This window comes from Homo sapiens, chromosome 3 (genome assembly GCF_000001405.40).
Source record: "Homo sapiens chromosome 3, GRCh38.p14 Primary Assembly".
Taxonomy (NCBI): domain Eukaryota; kingdom Metazoa; phylum Chordata; class Mammalia; order Primates; family Hominidae; genus Homo; species Homo sapiens.
This window is the reverse complement of record NC_000003.12, coordinates 72653069-72672669: the sequence shown is the minus strand read 5'-3', so window position 1 is coordinate 72672669 and position 19601 is coordinate 72653069. Positions and strand designations below refer to the sequence as shown.

The 19601-nt window shown below is 46.2% G+C and overlaps 2 long non-coding RNA genes across 2 annotated transcripts in view; both read left to right on the top strand.

Moving 5' to 3' along the window:
• LOC105377161 (uncharacterized) overlaps nt 1-19601 on the top strand; it is a 134312-nt gene that overhangs the window by 43772 nt on the left and 70939 nt on the right. The window lies entirely within an intron of this gene.
• Nucleotides 8421-9374, top strand: LOC105377162 (uncharacterized). The gene is made up of 2 exons (NR_135531.1): nt 8421-8740; nt 9103-9374. It is a non-coding gene; the product is annotated as an uncharacterized LOC105377162 (long non-coding RNA).

The window sequence follows — 19601 nt, the reverse complement described above, 5'->3', positions numbered from 1 at the left end:
TTACAGGTGTGAGCCACCGTGCCGGCCTCTGTGTTCTCATCTCTAAAATAATGATTGTGAAGTTCCTACCTTGAGGTTTGTTCTGAGGATTCAATCGGGTAGTACATGTAAACTCTTGCCCTCCATGCAGTGAGTTTTAGCTAATACCGTGTTTCTTGTTTAATCCTTGTTTCCCCCAGAGTCTGCAATGTTCCTGGGGCAGAACTGTCTGTCTGGTGTCCTGCTATGATCCTGGTGCCCAGCACCATGCCTAGAATAGATTAGGTACTCCATGAGCACTTGTTGAATGAATGACTCTCCAAGAGGGGGCTTCCCCCCACCCATACTCACCCCATCCGCTTTTTATCCAGAGAACCTTACAGAATCAGTGTCCTGCAGACTGCACATTTAGGGAACGCTGAGCTTGCCTGTGGCGCAAAACACCTCGCAGGTGCAGGCAGCAGTATCAGTAGCCTTTGGAAGGTCCTTTCCCTCCTCTTTGTCCTCTGGGACTCGGTGTCTCATCCCTGCTGGGAATGGCTCTTCTAGACCGCCCACAAGCCAAAGCCAGGGCTTCATAACTCACTCTGCCTCCCCAGCCTCCCCTGTCCTTAACTGGACCAATCTGTCTGCTTGACATCGCGCTCTGGTTCGTTTTCTTCACAAAGCCCTCTCCTGTCAGTTGACAGATTCTCAACTGTCTAGGCACATTTTTCAATGTGTGCTCTTCCAGTGATTCCTCGGCCAGGTTTCTGTTCTTTTTCAACCTACTGAATTTTATAATTTCACAATGGTTTACCTCGCCTTTCATGATTCTTCTCCATCTCCACTCTCCAACGTTTTTCCTGCGGGCTTCCAGCTTCTTGCCAATGAAGCCATGGGTTCTGGGGACCCTTTAAGGAAGCCTGATGTATTCAGCTATGTGGTGAACCACAGCCTTAACTGGGATGCCTCCAAAAGCTGGCCCTGAGACAAGGGTTGGGTGCAATTGTTTATCTGGAAAGCTACCCAGAAAGCAAGAGTGAGGGAGAAGGAGAGAGGGAAGAGAGAAAGGCTGCTAACCATGCCTTATTTTACTGCTTAGCCGCTGGGTAACTTGCAAGGCATCATAGATGTAGAATGTGCCTTTGCATTGTCCTTTTGTGGGGAGGAGAGGCTGGGGCATTTATCCACTGACTCTCACTCCCTTAATGTTGAGGTGTTGTCCCTGGGAAAATGAACATCCTTGCGCTTCTACCTGTGCCCATCAACTAAGTGGCTTTTCCCTGCTTTGGGGAAAACCTCTGCAAGTGTGCTTGAGGTGGGATTCTGGAAATGTCTGCCAAACTCTCCATCAGAGCTTCAGTGAAATCAGGTGGCCATGAGGATGTGATCTGGTGCACGCAGATGTCTGCTGTGGCTGGTCACACGCATAGGACTCCTTGAGTTTGGGATTGTCACTTGGGGTGCAGACTCCCTGAGCATACATTTCTTTGTCTTCTGTTTAAGCATCCAATTATTAAGGCTTTCTGCTGTCTTTGGGGCAGACTCCAGTCAGTTGGCACCCCTACCAGAAGGACTGTCAAGTCCCCAAAAAGAAAGCGAGGTCTAACCAGGCAGTTCTGTAAGTTCTGTCTCTGGTCATCAGGCTGCTGAGAGGGAAGGTGCTGGTGCTCTCAGATCATAGGAGGGAATGGGTCTCCCCATGACTTCCTTGGTCCATAACTGCATTTGGGTGGTGTCCTGGATGCAACTGTAATGCAAGTCACACTTTATGTATTGATGATTCTGAAGATGATGAGATGAATTAGATTATTTTCCTCCAATTGATCTATCTCCCCTGTCTTGTCCCTTAACATCCTGGGTGGATTTCATAGGTTGACTGCAACCTTTTTCTGCCTCACAGACTCCAATTCTCTCCTGCTTTTTCTGGAATGGATTTGAAAATCCTGTTTCTCATGGGAGTCCAACCAGGAATGAAATGCCTGGCTTCCCTTGCAAGCACCCCCAATCTCTACAAGCTACTCTCCTCTCTTAACTGGAGGAAAGAGAAGCAGTTCCCACCAGCAGTACCAACCCTGTTCCATCCCTGAGTCTGTTAATAAAAGTTGGAGGGGGGGAAGTAAGTGATCGTGGTTGGGCCAATTTGGGCACCTCTTAATATGCCTGGGTGGGCCAGGTGCAGTGGTTCATGCCTGTAATCCCCGCGCTTTACAAGGCTGAGGTGGGAGGCTGGCTTGAGCCCAGAAGTTTGAGACCAGCCTGGTCAAGATGGAGAGACCCCATCTCTACACATGCGCGTGCACACACACAAGCCTAGATGATGAACTCATGGCCTCTTAGTGGCTCCCTTTAGGAATGGGGTTTTTGTTTTTGCCTGGGGTCTGTAAGCTTGGATGGGAAGATTTATTTTTTATATTTGTTCATCTCTAGGTAAAAGCTGACATTTCTTTCTGTTCAAAATGTAAACACCAACCCCCCCATAGTATTAGTAGTGCCTATGACTTTGTTACCCTTCACAATCAGAAATCACACTACAGTTGTCACAGATATTTAAAAGTAACATTTTACACTCATCTCTATGTAAAAATTACAGTAGTAATTAGACTCATTGCTAGATCTTGTTATTTAATGTATTAATAAAGAAGAAACAAGAGTATTACTATATCATAAATTTGTGGGGGTTTTTTTGGGTTTTTTTGTTGTTGTTTTTTGAGACGGAGTCTCGCTGTCGCCCAGGCTGGAGTGCAGTGACGCGATTTCGGCTCACTTCAAGCTCCGCCTCCCGGGTTCACGCCATTCTCCTGCCTCAGCCTCCTGAGTAGCTGGGACTACAGGCGCCGCCACCACGCCCGGCTAATTTTTTTTTGTATTTTTGGTAGAGACAGGGTTTCACCATATTAGCCAGATGGTCTCGATCTCCTGACCTCGTGATCCGCCCGCCTCAGCCTCCCAAAGTGCTGGGATTACAGGCGTGAGCCACCGCGCCCGGCCCATAAATTTGTTTAATATTTTGACAGCTGTATCGTGAGTTCTCTGCAATCCTATGTATTTTGTTTTGTGCATTTAAAACCATTAGTTTGAAAAGGGATCGATTGCTTCACTGATACCAACAGGATTCATGGCACAAGAAAAGATCAGAAACTGTGCTTTGGAGCATGTGGGCTCTTTGTGCCTAATGTCTAGCTTGGGGCTTAGGCCACAATGCTAGGACTAAAGGAAAAGTCATCTTCAACTTCCTGTCACCCATAGGCAGAGGGACTCCATGTCATGGTTTGCCTGGGACAGTCCCTTTTACTCCAGCTGTCTGGACTTCATTATTCACATTGCTCCCTTTCATTCTTAAAGTCACCATGGTTTGGAGTAGGTGGAGTGGTCATTCACACGTTTGTGGTAAGATTGGAAGAATCTCTTGCTTACCTAGTGCCTGAAATCCCACTATTGTTTTGGGTTAAGCATTGCAATAGGATCTTGCTTAAAATGCAGAGTCGTGTGATTGATTGTGTGTATGTGCACTCACTTGTGTGGGTGTGGGGGGAATGGGTGAATACCATGAGTCCTAGTTTGAATTGGTTTTTCAGATTGCATTCCTGAATAGTGGGGAGGACCTGGACAAAGTTAAACCCACGAAGTGGGGAGGGGGATCCATGGGAGGAAGACGTTTGGCCTCTCTCAGCCCCACGAGGTCCCCGAGGGAGAGTTCCCAGACTAGGCTGGCCTCGGACCCAAAGCAGACAGATGAACCTTGTGACTTTTGGCCCTGGGCAGGCGCCTAAGCTTGGCTGTGAACTTGGTTTTACTCTGATGGTGAGAAAAGCCCAGGTAATATGTGAGCCCCTCATAAGAGCCAGTATTGCTCCCTGATACTCTCCTGGCAAACCCTCATCCTTCCCACAGTCCCTTCCAAGCAAGAGGAGGAGCACCAAGACAGGAAAGGCACCTGAGGAGGGATCAAGTCCCAGATCCCAAAGGGACCCCTCCAGGCCTTGAACAATTTGCTCATCACACTGATCGAGCCCTCCTGGGTTCCAGTGCTGCCTCCTCTCCTCCCGAGTGTCCTTGGGTGAGGTACCTTTTTGAGCCTCAGTTTCCTCATCTGTAGAATGGGGGTAAATAGTAACCATTGGGGAGTGTCCCAACTGAGACCAATGCCCCCTCATATAAGGATACTTCCAGGAGGGCTGATTTACAAAGGAGCCTGGTGTGGGGGAAGAGTAGGGAAGGTGCAGTCTCCCACAGTAGCCATGTTTCTAGGCCAGGAGGGGACAGCAGGAGGGAGCAGATACTAGAAATGGGAGGATGGGTCCCATACGGAAGGCTGCTGTGAGACGATCAGTGACTTCTGGTGGAGGGACAGGTCCAGCAGAAGTCAGGGAAGGTACCAGGGGGATAAGTACCCCAGCCTCAACCTTCTCCCTCCCTCCACTTTCCTGCCAGGGCTGTTCAACTGGTCCAACCAACAGGATGCCAGAGGCAAGAAGGCACGTTAACATAGCGCTCGCCAGTCAGACTTCTGGGCACAAAGCAGGGTGGAGAAGGGCAGAGCATGGACCTGAAGGGCAGCAGAAGCCCACCCACATGTGATCCTGTAGCTGATGGCTGAGCATTAGCCCACTAGAGCCTCGCAATAGCCCCATTCCTCATTCAGGGGCTGGCACATAAAAGTCTCATTAAATAGTCACCAAATGAATGAATGAATGCATACCTCCTACCTGCTAACAGAAGTGCCTGTGCCAGCTCCTTACTATACTGTGAACCCCAAGAGAGAGGTGTTGGGGCCAAGAGCAGCCTGAATCTACCCTGTGGCTGGCCATGAGGAAGGTATTGGACGGAACTGATGAACTTGCTTTGTGTGGAGTGTGGATGCCAAATGGCCTTGCAATGTGAATCCTTGGGACCCCACAGGCCACCAAGAACACAGAAAACTTATGTTCAAGTTCCCTTTCTCTGTTGATGTGAAGGCTATATTAGTCCATTTTCATGCTGCAATGAAGAAATACCCGAGACTGGGTAATTTATAAAGAAAAAGAGGTTTAATGGACTCACAGTTCCACATGGCTGGGGGGTCCTCACAATCATGGTGGAAAGTGAAGGAAGAGCAAAGGCACATCTTACATGGCGACAGGCAAGAGAGCGTGTGCAGGGGAACTGCCCTTTATAAAACCATCACATCTCATGAGACTTATTCACTATCTTGAGAACAGCAGAGGAAAAAGCCACCCCCATGATTCAGTTACCTCCCACCATGTCCCTCCCATGACATGTGGAGATTATGGGAGCTAAGATTCAAGACGAATTTGGGTGGGGACACAGCTAAACCATATCAGAGACAGAATGGAAGCTTCTTGGTGTGGGAATTCCAGAAGGCACAGGCAAAGCTGGTTTGTGTGGCGTTTTCAGGGGAGCCTAGATTCTACAATTTCCTTGCAGTGCTAGTGGGGAATGGCACAGAAAACCCACTGCAGTCCAGCTTTCCTTCTCTTCTTTATTACTCTTAGAGTAAGCTTATAGAGGTCATATAACTTTATTGTAAAGAAAACCAAATCAGCAATCACAAATAAGCAGAAAAGAAACAATAAAAAATGATCACTGTCATATAATTGATTAATATTTTGGTGCATATCTTTCTAGATTCTTTTCTACTCTGGCTTTCTTTTTATCAGGATCCTGTTGTTTCCAACCAAAGCCAAAATAGCTAACATGCTGGCTGAGCACGGTGGCTCACATCTGTAATCCCAGCACTTTGGGAGGCCTAGGAGGCGGGTGGATCATTTGAGATTAGGGGTTCAAGACCAGCCTGGCCAACATGGTGAAACCCTGTCTCTACTAAAGATACAAAAATTAGCCAGGTGGTAGTGGCATGTGCCTGTAATCCCAGCTACTCGGGAGGCTGAGGCAGGAGAATAGCTTGATTGGAGGTGGAGGTTGCAGTGAGCCGAGATTGCACCACTGCACTCCAGTCTGGGCGACAGAGTGAGACCCTGTCTCAGGAAAAAAAAAAAAAAAAAGCTAACATGCTTTAAGCACTTTTTCTGTGCAGGTATGGTGCAAAATACTTTACATGCACTAGCTCATTAGATTCTCATTTTTTTAATGGCGGCACAGAGAGGTTAAATGACTTGTCCAAGGGCACACAGCTAGTAAGTAAGGAAATTGGGATTTGAACCTAGGCAGGCTGATTCCAGAGCCCCCATTCTTATATGGGCTGATTGCAAACCAGGTAAGAGATAGCTAGTTTTTCGAAGATCCCATGCCACTGTCTCCTAAGTGACATGGTGCCAGCTAGTGCAATATTAATCACTGCAGCATACAGCCAAAAAAAACTTTTCAGCGCCCCAGTTGAGAAATGAACACTGAACCACAGCGCCCCCTGGCTTACATAGTAATTCTGATTGGCTCACTCTAGGGTCACACTGGCCAGCAAAAATTCAAGACAAACCTTTATTGGGCATCTACTATGTGGCGAGCTCTCTGCCAGCCATTGGGTGTAAAAAGTAGAATAAGGTATAGCTTCTGCCCTCCAGGTATTCTTGCATAGCCAGGAGAGACGCACCTAGAAGACGCACAATAGACGCACCTTCTATTGTGTCAATAGAAGGAGAGCTATGCTCTAATGGAGGGTGTGTACCCGCCAAAGCCCTGCAGACACTATGGGGGAAGGGACTTTCACAAGATCACAGAAAGATCAGGTTTCTGCTCTCACCTCCCTTGAGGCCCCCTCCTCTGATGCCACCTTGAGCTCCCTGGCCTGGCCCCAGTGATAAGATTTCCTTTGGTCCTTCCTCCCTCCAACTGAAACGTATGTGTCTTCCCACTTTTTCTCTCAGCGTGCTGCCAGATGGCCATCTCGCTAATCTCAGAACCTCATTCAAAATCAGGGGGTAATGACTTCTGAGTTTTAACAAGAGCTTTCAGAGCTGAACACCAGGAATCACAAACACAGATGCCCACGGGTTAGGCCGATAACATCAGCGCACTCAGCAGACCAGTATTTGGATGTTAAATATGCAGGAATATTCTTTACTTGCACAAAGAGATATACTCTCACCTATTTTTTTTTTCCTGAAGCACATTGTCCTTTGAGTCTATCTTTTCGTTTTCTATTCATTTTTAATAAATATTAAATACAGCTAACATGCTGTATTTAAATGAGAAATATAAATATTTCTCTACCAGAAGAAAAAAAAATAACAGCACAGCTGATGATAAATGCTAATATTTGGTGGAAAACCAAAGGGACTGGTGACTTAAGGTTCCCTAGGGCAGGCTCTGAGACTTAGGTTCCTCGAGGGCAGGATTTGAATATAAGCAGTTGATTTGGAAGGTGATCCAGGAAATGGCAGCCAGTCAATAAAGGGTGTGAGTTATGGTGAGTTAAACCACTGTGGGCAACTGTGACACAGACTCCAGAGGCCAGCGTCAAAGGTGCCCTTCAGCTGCCCATCTGTGAAATGGGTATTTCTCCATCAGCTCCCACCAGTCATTCATTGGGGTTGCTGAGGATGCTTTAATTTTTCCAGTGTCTCTGGTCTACAATGCGTGTGTGCCAAGCAGGCAAGTCCTCAGGCGAAAGACTACAGGCCTTGGGGATTGGAAGTCAGGCCATCAGACCTCCAAATGGCAAGATCCCAGGACCCAATAGCATTTGCCATAGGCACTGATGATGGTGAGCTGAAGCACGCTCACTCCATCTAAAGGGACAATGTAGCATCCGCTGAATTTCACCAAGGAAGATGTGGACCTAGGGTGGTCAGACCTTCAGCTTTCTCAAGAAAAGCTAGTCCTTTAGATTTTTATGTGAAATTTCTCAACATGTAAATGTTGACAATGAATTCAAATTTTTAAAAATGCACTATAGGAGCCAACCAAAGCATGTCTGTGGACTGAATCTGGCTTACAGGCAGCGAGATGATGAAATCCAATCTACTCTGAAGGCTGATCTTGGCTCCAGACCGTTCTTGCTCCAGACAAGATCTGAAGATGAATTTTGATAAAGGAAAGTGAATGTTTTAGTCAGGAGTAGACTGCATTGATGTAATAAAGGGACCCCCAAGTACAGTGGTGGTAACCAGACAGAAGTGTGTTTCTTTCTCATGTAACAATCTGGAGGTTGGTGGGTGGTTCAGGACATTTCTGCTATATGAGGCTGTCCAGGGACTAGGTTTCTTCTATCTTGTTGCTCAGAGTGTTGTCTTCCTCCACGGGGGTCAAAACTGGCTCCCCAACTTCTTGTCCACATTCCAGCCAATAGGAAAGGAGAAAGAGAAGCTTAATCATTTTAAGGGTCAGATCTGGTCATTGCACAGTTCATGTCCTCTCACATCCCATTGGTGGGGACTTAGTCACATGGTCATGTCTGGCTGCAAGGGATGTTGGGAAATGTAGAATGTGGTCTCTCTCTGTCTCAGTAGCCATAAGGTTCTGTTTAAACTTAGGAATTCTGTTTCTATAGAATTAGGGGAAGACCAATATTAGCAACAAGAAGCCTCTGCCACCATGGAAGAAGGATCTGGAAAGAAGGATGGGATCTCAGCCTGATGGCAGGTCTTACCCAAGAGGGAATTTTTTTCTCAGGAGAGTGAAGAAAGCCTGGCTTTCCTCATCAGCTCTCTTTGTGTTGAATTCATCAGTCATGACAATCATTTGAGAAACCTTAGAAGATCATCCCAAACCTGGAAAAAGTCAGTTACATTAGGAAAGGAGTGAGCATAAAGAGCACCTACTAGAGAGAGGGTCCTTTCACACACATGACCTCATGTAACCTTCACAATCATGCCATGAGGTGGGTAGTATTATCACCACCCCTATCCCCTTTTTTGGAAGAAAGGTTGAGTACCAGAGAAGCAGGGGTGATATTCAAACTCTTTAATTAGGGTTAAGGTATGGGGGCTGACCAATCAGAGCTGCCATACAGATTTGTTTTATCAGAGAAGTAAAGGCCTTGGTCAGGATTTGAAATGAGGCTCATATGACTGCAAAGCTCACATTCTTTTCACCGCAATTTGATTTCCTTATGCCAGCTGCTTCCCCAGAGACAGTGACACCAACTCTTCTGGGTTGTTGAGAGGGTAAACAAACCGTGATGAATGAATCTCCTCTCCTAATATGAATGCCTTATTGTTGTTATTCTTCATGCCCTGACAGAGTATTTACAGCCTCTGCTGTTGCTCTGCTTCTATCTGGTGGATTAAGGAAAGTCACAACTCACAGCCCTAGTGGAAAGTTACAACTGGGATTTGAGCTAACGAAGAGTTGAAGACTCAGCAACAGGCGCTTGGCTTCACTATTAACCTGGACAAGGCCATTAACTCGCCTGTACTTAATTGGCTTGTTCTGTGACACACTGTTGCCCCAGAAACACCCATATGGGTGTACCCCACATTAAAGAAGCCCGCTCTATGAAAACCGAGACTTGTTGAAAAGATAAATGGGAGTTAATTATTTAATTAACCACAAAAGACTTTGCTCTGAAAAATGGGATTTCTGGATAGCTAGTTTCAAAATAATACTGAAAATTTTGATTCTGGGAGAAAGGGAGGATACAAAAATGTGTCAGTTCTTTTTTGGTCCATCTGGGAATGTTCTGGAATAGATTAGATTTCAAGAACTCTGTAATGATGCTTCAGAGGGAACTTGTGAAATCTGAATTGGGTTGGGGGTTGTTTATGGTGGATATATTTGGGGTGCCTGCCAAGGCCCTGTCCGACCTCTGAGAGTCTAGTCCCTCACCACCTAATGGAAGGAGGAGGTATGTCTAAGCCGTCATGTCTATGCCACCTAACTCCATCCCCCCATCTCCCACTACTGACTGTATCAAAAGTAAACTCCTCACCAGGAACCAATCCATAGGCCCAGTCTGTGAGCCAACCAACTTGTCTGTCAAATGTGTGAACTAAGAGACACATAACTACACTTAGATAGTGCTTGGCATTTGACCTGAAAGATCATGTACAGCCGGGTTGGGGCAGTGACTTTAATGCTGTGTACTGTCTCTTAGGAAGGCAGAGAGAAGGCATGCTAGTCTGTAAAGGGAAAAGGGGACTGAGTTGACATGCAGTGGCGGGCCTGGCTATCTTGATCTCCCGTTGCTGGGTGCCCACCGGATTGCCTACTATATACTTTGAATAAGCACGTCTGGAGCCCCAGTCAATGAGGATTTCAAACTGATCTCAACTTATCCACCTTGATCAGGAATAAGACCTTATTTTTATTCCACTCACTACTCTCAGTGGGTTCAGTGGTCTCAGCTGGTCACCTGTCCAAGAAGGCTTTTGTCCTGCCCATTGTTGTGGGGTGGGCATGATGGGGGGAGGGTGTTAGCCATGGGACATGTCACTGCAAACTGGATGATTATTGAGGTCTGGTGGTCCTTGCCAGACAAGAGAGATGATTTGGTTGTGACTGAAGAAATCCCAAGCTCCTTGGAGCAAACCTAGTGGAGCCTGTGATTTTCATTCTCCCACTGTGCTGCCCGGGAGTAAATGCAGTCCTTGCTTTATTTCCCTACGGAGTAACTGACTCGTTTCTTGCTGAGCAGGCTGGGGATAGCAGTTGGGGGAGAGAGGTTTTTAGGATGCAGCAGAGAAATTTGATGAGTACAGAAGTATGGTGTGAACCCACCATTAAATGCCCCAAATGTTACTCTACCCCATTATCTTAGGCGGTTCTATTCTTTGCAACCAAACGTGGCCTACAACACATCAACACAATAGTCTTCTATTGCTTTCCCTCCCTTCCCTCTTGAATTTCTATAGGTAGCAGAAATCCAATCTTACTACCCAGGAGTCCTGGGAATATCATATCCAAATTTACACTGCGGCCCAATCAAAATCCATCATGCCTAGGGGTTTAGCAATGGGGCTTTGTATATTCATAAGTCATTAGAGAAACAACCAACTTACATTCCACTATTATGAGAGTTTCTTATAAAAGGGGTTGGCTATCCCTTTGTCCCCTTCACCTAATCCCTTTCTCCTTTTTAATTCCACCTGGTTGAACCACCTCTATTTGCCAGGCATTTCCCCTTCAGTTAATAGTATCCATTGTGCAGGCTTTACTCATGTTTTCGATATGCCAGCCATTGTGCAAAATGATTTGCAGGTAGCACGCTGTTCAATTGTCACAGGCCCCTTCATTGCAGCTACTAATGACGATTCCCATTTTACAGATGGGGAAATTGAGAGGCTAAGTCATCCATCTGACTCCATAGCCTGAAATTTTTTGGCCACTCTGCTTTACTACTGCTCTGGCTTCCCTGGGTTTCCTTCTGCCATTTTCAGTAACTAGGGGAGAGAAGGTCCAGGTGTCCTGCCTGGCAGCAGGGCCCCCGGAACTTGGCTCTTTTCTGGCCTCCTTTCCAGCTAGCACAGCTGCCAATCTGGAACACAGCCCTTTCCAAGAAAGCCCAGGAGAGAAGCCAAATGTTGACTCACCTGCCAGACTCGGGGATGCTGCTGCCAAGATGCCTCAGGGCCTGTGCAGGAGGGCTGGCAGGGCTGGCCCATTGTGGGGCCTGGCAGGGGCAGCTTCAAAGGGCCAGGCCTTCTTTCCTGAGTGCTTCAGGTTCCAGAGGCTAAAGAGATCCAGATGGGTTCCTCCCCTCCTCCTTCTGCCCCATCCTTCAGCCCTGGAAGTTTCTGAAAGAGAATGTCTCCTCTACATCTCCCCTTGGGTGGCAGGCAAAATTCTAAGGAAGCACGCAAGACTTTCTGCCGTCTCACCCCACCCCACTGTGTGTACCCTGCTTAATCCCCAGACCTGTGAATATGCTGGATTTTGCTCCCATGATTAGGTGATGTCCTATGGCACACTTGATCCTAAGAAGGGGAGATTATTCAAGGAGGCCTGATCTAATCCTAGAGTTTTCTCTGACTGGTGGCAGAAGAGGAAGTGAGAAGTTGGAAGCAGGAGAAGAATTTGACCCAGGCTTTCTGGCTTGAAGTTGAAAGGAGTCCTGCAGTAAGGACTATGGGAAGCTTCTGGAAGCTAAGAGTGGCCCATAGCTGACAGCCACCAAGGGAACAGGGAGCTTGGGCCCACGCATGCAAGGAACAGAGTCTTCCAACACAGAGAATACATTTGCAATGAGATGCTTCCTCAGAGCGTTCACACAGGACCCTAGGCCAGCTACCACCTGATTTCAGCCTTCTGATAACCTGCCCAGAGAACTCAGTTGAGTCTACCTGGACTACTGACTTCCAGAACTATGAGCTAATACATGGGCATTGTTTTAGCTGCAAAGTGTGGGGTAATCTGTTATCCAGTCACAGAAAATGAGTGTACTTCAGATATGTAACAGGCATTTCAAACCCTACATGTCCAGCTATTCCCCACTTGAGTCTTCCCCAGGTGGTCAGTGGTAGCTTTATTCTTCTTGGCATAGGCCCCAAATCTTCAAGTCGGTCTTGCCTCCTCTCCTTCTTGTAACTCTTTGTTGAATTCATCAGCAAGTTCTTTTCACTCTCCCTTCATACTGTCTCCAGACTCTGACTACTCACCACCCCCGATGACCTGTTCCTTCTCTTTTCTGCCCTGACAGCACAGTAGTTCATTACTGAAATGGCCAAGTCCTTGCCCCTCCCTGGCAGGAGGCAAGGACACTCCTGGATGATGGTTGGCTGGCCTCCTCTTCAGCTTCTGTACCCAACCCATTGGGGTGGCTGATAAATTCAAACACAGACACAAAGCAGAGGGTGGCAGAAGAAGGGGGCTCCCATGTGGAGGCCTAATGGGGAGCAGCAGACATTTGAGTTCTGGCTACCCTTGGGCTTGGTAGGCTCACAGAGCCGGCTGCCTGGCATGTTTCCAGATATAACACAGTTGTCACCCAGGAGGAGTTCCCAAGCCTCCTTCAGAATCAATTATGTTCAGGAGTCATGCTGTGGAATACTTTCTGGGGATCAGGATTTTATTTATTGTTCAAGGTTTTGAGCCAAGAGTGAAAAATTGTTGTTGATGATGATGGGGGAATTCCCAGGAGGCCCAGAAGAACTCACAGGCAACCAGCCTCCTGGAGTCACTAAGATGAATGGCTGTCAAGTCAGCCAGAGTGCGAGGCCAGCTTGTCCTTCCTCGATGGCTTTTCTGGGCTCTCAGTCTCTTCAGTGAGGATCAGAGAAGATACATTTTCTTGTTTGGTCAAACCTTTAGCACAGTACTGGGCGTACGGTAAGTTCTCATCAGATGGTGGTGGTTATGACTGATATATTGACTGTAATTTACTTCTAAACATAAAGCATATTTCATACACCATGTCTCTGTGCACATGTATGCATGGGGTGTGTGTGTATGTGTTAGCTTTCATCTACATTGTAGGGGCTGTTAACATTCGAAAGATCACAACCCCACACTCCAGAGGAAGGTACCATAAGTGCTTCAATTATCTGTCCTAGCTCAGCATCCATGGGTGTGTTAATTAGCATAATGGATTTCTAAAATGGTTTTTCATTGATGAAAAGAATGGCGTTCAAGAATGGTAGATGGCTGGAAATGTTTCATAGTGCGTTTGCCTTGCCTGAAGACATTATAAATAAGTCTAGCCAGACCAGTTGCTTATTCTTTTAGAAAGGCTCCAGCCTTGGAAGTCCAAACAGTCCTATGTCTATATATTAAAGGGTTGATTTGATCACCTGCCTGACTAGGCTAGATACTGCGCTGACAATAGTGTCACGTGTGCCTTGACTACACTTTTTGTGAAAGAGGCTGTCGAAGTGTCTAAAGTGAGAGGGCTGACATGTCCCCGGGTTAACAGAATGGGTGGTGTGGCTGTTTATGTGCCTGCTTGCTGGCCTTGAAACCAGTTAGCAAAATGTGGAATTTGGTCTGAGACAGACTGTCTTTGTAACATACTATCTGATTAGGTGATCGGGGGAGGTAGCTTGTAGCCTTCATGGACTTCTTACCTATTGCAGGAAGCCATCATGATCAAACACCTAGTAGTTTGAATAGCCAAATTGCTTAGGCTAGTTTGCAACAACTACTTTAAAATAAGTAAGATAATTACAACTGGAACGAGGAATAACTGGTTTCCTTTAGCTTAGAAAAGACATGTTACAACAAGAAGTCAGGAAAGTATGAGTATAAACCTCTGTATAGCATGTCCTGGGGTGAGTTCTGGTGCCATTTTAGATGATGGTCAATCTTGAAATGTGTGTGTGTGTGTGTAGACAAACAGATGAGCAGGTAGATGATAGGAGAAGAGGAAGGTGAATGGAGAATTACAATTCTATTTTTCTCTCAAGAAAAGAAACGCCATGGAACCTTCTAGAAGTGGTGTGGCTGAATGTGATAAGCTGGAGTTTGGACCTCAGACCAGGATTCGGATGCTGCCTCTCTTTCTTTCTAAGGGGCCTCAGGCTAGCTTCTTAAGTTCTCTGAGTCCACTTTGTCATCTACAAAATGGGTATTGGAATACTTCCCTTGAGTTGTGATTAAAGTAACTGGCCTTGAAACCACTTAGCAAAACGTCAGGCACAAAGTGAGCCTTCAATAAATAATTTCCTCCCGGAATATTTACAGAGCATTAGGACTCTGCACACAGTATCTGGGTTATAGTAGCAAATAAGGCATATAGATTCCTAGAGCTCACAAACTCACAGTGATGATGAACTTCATTAAGGAGACACACGAGGACCCCCTGGCGTGTTTGTTAAAAAGGCAGATTCTAAGTATCAAGACCTCCTGAATCTGAGGATAAGTGGGTGGGGCCAGGAACCCATTTATAATAAGCTCTGCAGGTGATCGAATGGGCGGCCAGGTTGGGGAACCACTGACTTAACCACTGTAATTCTCTACTGAAGCCTTGGTTTGGCAATGCTCCAGTCTCCCTTCAAAGGCTCTTCAGTCATGAGTTTGAACTGACTGCACCCACAGTGATGGGAAGTGCTGCCCTCTTCCTACCCTGAACCGCTCCACTGCAGGGGGTGGGGCAGAGAGAGTTACCCCTTGTCTTGCTTATTTTATAGGCAGTGCTCATACATCATTATCAGAAACTTCAAAGACTTCACTGAGCATCGAATTGACAGGCTACAACTTGAATTATGAAGTCTTCAGTAGCTAAATCTCTAAACTTGGAAAGCCTCTGCTCCTCAGATCATCACCTAAAAACAATGAACATCTAGTCTGGAGACTGCTATTGTCTGCATGTGACTTAGGAACCATTTTTTTCTGTTCTTCCCCTCCTTAGAATAATATATCATATATACATACCAGTAGAAAATTCAGGTAATATAGTACTGGCACAGAAAATAAAAAATAGTAATCCAGCCCTCCTGAGATAATCACCATTAATATTATTTGGTATACTTCCTTCCAGTTTTTTTTTTTTTTTTTTTTGAGACAGAGTCTAGCTCTGTCACCGAGGCTGGAGTGCAGTGGCTCAATCTTGGCTCACTGCAACCTCCACCTCCCAAGTTCAAGCAATTCTCCTGCCTGAGCCTCCTGAGTAGCTGGGACTACAGGGGTACACCACCACACACAGCTAATTTTTGTGTTTTTTAGTAGAGACGGGGTTTCACCATGTTGGCCAGGCTGGTCTCAAATTCCTGACCTCAAGTGATCCGCCTGCCTTGGCCTCCCAAAGTGCTGGGATTACAGGCATAAGCCACCATGCCTGGCCTTCCTTTCAGTCTTTTTTCTTTGTATGTGAGTACATGTATTTTGTTGTTGTTGTTCATAAAATCAAGATCGTACCATAAGTGCTATTTTTTGAATTGCTCTTTTCATTTCATAACATGTTTTAAAGTAAAAAGTTAATATTTTTTAATGCAATTAAATATTCCTCTTTAACAGTGGTTTTTCACACTGGGATGGACGAAACCCTCAGGGTTCCTTAGATGTACCTACTGCTTACCTGGGGTGGGGAAAGGAGTTGGGTGGGGGGAGTTCCAGGCCCTAGAGCCCAGTTTTCATCACAGCAGTTCCACTCATATCAGGTTGTAACTGGAATACTATGTAGGATTCCATCAGAAACTTAAAAAATTTGTAAACTATTGCCCTAAATTATCATTAAAATGTTTTTAAACCATTTCTTTCCTTCTTTTTAAAAAACTTAAATGGAATGACTCTTTAAAAATTATAAAACAAATATTTGCTGATAGTTTTAAAAAGCTCAGGTTTTTATTATATATTTTTAAAAATGATATATGTTCTTTGTAAAAATGTCAGATACAGATTTGATGACAAACCTACCTTTACTTCCTCCTCCAAATACCCAAGGAGTCCAGCACTGCCCCACTGCCCACCTTTAGAGGGCTCAGCTCACAGAGAATACCCAGTTAAGCCAGGTGTGGTGGCCCACACTTGTAATCCCAGCACCTTCATATCCACTTCGGAAGGATCACTTGAGGCCAGGAGTTGGAGACCAGCCTGGGCAACATAGTGAGACCCCATGTCTATTAAAAGAAAAAAAACCCAGTTAAGATTTATGTCTCATTCCAGACTCTTCCCAGCATAGGGATTATTCCGTAGGTCGAGGTACCCCAGAAGCCAACCTGAGACTAGGATTTCGGTGCAAGTGTTTTATGTGGGAGGCAAGCTGACCACTGTCCTGGTTTGCCTGGGGCTGGGGGTTCCCAGGATGAGGTGTTTGCCCTCTGTCGGGAGATAATCCCAGGAAGCACTGATGGAGAAGTGGGGAAGTGAGATGGACAGGGCTGGGAAGCCTGTGATTAACAGGTTAGCCCCATGCACAGCTGAGCTCAGTCCTGTTTGGGACCTGTGGGGGGCGCTCTAGAACACCCTCCCCAAGGTGCTTTTTCTCCCGTAGGGCGTCCCTGCCTGGTTGCAGGCTCCCCCTGACTTCAGGCCTGCCCACCTCCTGCAGTCCTAGAGAGGCCTGGGCAGAGAGCCCCAGGAGCACCAATGCCAAGAGGGTAGCGGCAGAGCGCCAGTAGCATCTGCTATGAGAGTATTTCTGTACATATATTTAAAAAAAATAAAAATAGGATCACTCCATTTTTGATTTACTGGCACCTTGATTTATGTAAGGTGTCTGAAGGAAAGACATTCTAGACCACAAATCTAATACGGCAGTCATTTCAAGGGTCCAGGCTTGGAATTGCCCTTGGGTTAATTATATCAGAGGCTGATCATGTAAATGACTAGCATTGGAATCGGATGAAATGGTATCACTACTACTTAAAACAAAAAACAAAAAACCTCCGATGAGTTCTCTGCTGGATTCAGTTCAAAATTGTCCGCTGAACCACTGGAAGAAACTAACAATGGAAGTCTAGTGATTCCAATTCTTCTAGCGCTTGCGGTCAGCCCAAGTCCCCGCAGGAGCCCACGTGCTAATCCCGGGTCCTGACAGCCATGGACGAGGCCCGGCGGTGCTCACGGGGGGCCAAGGGCTGCCCCGGTGCAGGAATTCAGGTGTGTGCGACCGCAGGCGGCGCCGGCCTCCCCGCTGCAAGGACAGCAGCTCCTTGATTGCTCTGTCTAAACAAGGGAGCGAAGGCATAAGTTCCTTTTGTCACCCCGTTTCCATGGTTATTTGACACGTGATCGTCTTTTTTGGCGTCCTCCCGGCAAAATCGCGGTAGGTTTGGCTAATACATTCCTGTCTGTGAAGGAATGGGAGGGGTCCAATTACCCTTCCGGAGAGCCTCGGGTTGTTCCACAGAACAATTTTGGAGGTGTATTTCTTCCCTAATGGGTTTAGGAACCCCAACCCTGATTTGTCAAAACGGATGCTGTTGAAAATTTGAACTCTGATAGGATTGAAGGCAATTTGATGATATAAAGGAATCATTTTTTTTTTAAGTTGCGTTCATGGTACTGTGTTTTAAAAGACCATTCTTAGCCTTTAGAAACACACACTGATATTTACAGATGAAATGATAGGATCTCTGAGATACGCTTCAAAATATGTGGTAGGGATGGGCCAAGCCGAATTTGCCATGGGTCCGAGAGTGTTTACGGTCCTGTTCTGTCTACTTATATATATATATATATGTTTGACGTTTTCTATAAATGCAAACATTTTTGTTAGTGTAAAAAGATGGTGGCTGAAAAGCAAATCTGCTTTTGTTTTCAAAGGTCATGATAAGGATTGAGTGAATGAATGTGGCTGCAGGATAAACTCTGAAATGTTGTAGGAGAGTAATATGCCAGAAAATTCTAACCTGTGGATAATGATGATGGAGGTGGTGGGAGTGTGTGTGTCGGGGGTGGGGGGGTGTGGGTCAGAGTTATTGCAGGGCAGCTCTTAGGGTCTCAGACAGAACTGTCCACCTATGACTAGGCAGGGTAGAATTTTGAGATATTAACCATACTCCAACCCCAATTTGTGAAGCCAGACAATTTGCCTGTATTGTATATGGGAAGAAAGGGTGCTACAGAATTCAGAGAATAGAAAGATTAAAGTTTTGGCTTTTTGTTTAATAAATTTTTCGTAGAGACAGGGTTTTCTTGTGTTGCCCAGGGTGGTCTTGAACTCCTGGGCTCAAGTGATCCTCCCACCTCAGCCTCCCAAACTGCTGGGATTACAGGCATGAGTCAGCATGCCTGGCCAGTTTTGGCATTTTGAATGTTAAAAGCTACTCTCCAGGCATAAGAAAAAGACTTAATTAGTGAGAGTCATTTTTTCCCTCCCTCCTGTTCCCCCAAAATGGTAGTTAGCTTTAGTTAAGCATTTATGATGGGCCAGGCACTGTTCTAAGCATTCCGCAAATATTGTCTTTTTAAATCCTCTAAGAAGCCCGTGAGATAATCAGTTTTACAGATGGAGAAATCGAGGCACAAACTGGTTAAGTAACTTGCCCAGAGTCCCATAACTCACCTGACTCCAGAGCTTAGCTAATCCCCGGATAGATGAGGGAAGACCAGCTTATCATGGGAGCTGTTGGCTGAGATGGTGGATCAGGGAGGCTAGGCGGAAAGGACCTGAGGAGTCCCAGTGTGGAAGGGAGAGCATGAACCGGGTATGGAAGACTCAAGGAAGCTGCAACCACCCTCGCCTCCCATGCCTGGGTGCTCCTGAGGGCCTCCAGAACTTGGACTCAACCTAAGGGAGACTCAAGGAAATTCTTAAATAACAGTGATTTTGTTTCTCCCACCTCCAGGATCAGGGACCTGATAAAGAAATTCACTTTAGTTGTCAAAAAACTGGAGAAATGTTCACTCATGGTTGAGTTTGCAGCCTGTGATTCTCCATGCATAACAGTGTGATGTGGTTTCTGCTGTTGTGATAAGGCATTCTAAAGGAATCAGGGTCCTGGTTAGAGTATTAGATTTTCAAGTCAAAGTAACCTAGGTTTGAACCCTAACTCTGTCAGTTAGTTGCTATGTGGCCTTGGTGGGAGCCTTAATTTCTTGTCAGCAAAGTAGGGATGAGAGTACTAACTGTGCCCACCAAACAGGGTGGTATAAGCATGAGATGAAAGCCCAGCTCACTGCCTGGCACAAGGAAGGCGGTTGCAGCTTCCTTGAGGCTTCCATACCCGGTTCATGCTCTCCCTTCCACGCTAGGACTCCTCGGGTCCTTTCCACCTAGACTCCCTGATCCACCATCTCAGCCAACAGCTCCCATGATAAGCTGGTCTTTTCTCATCTATCCAGGGATTAGCTAAGCACCCAGGCTCTGGAGTCAGGTGAGTTATGGGACTCTGGGCAAGTTACAAGTACATTGTAACCTGTGTGTC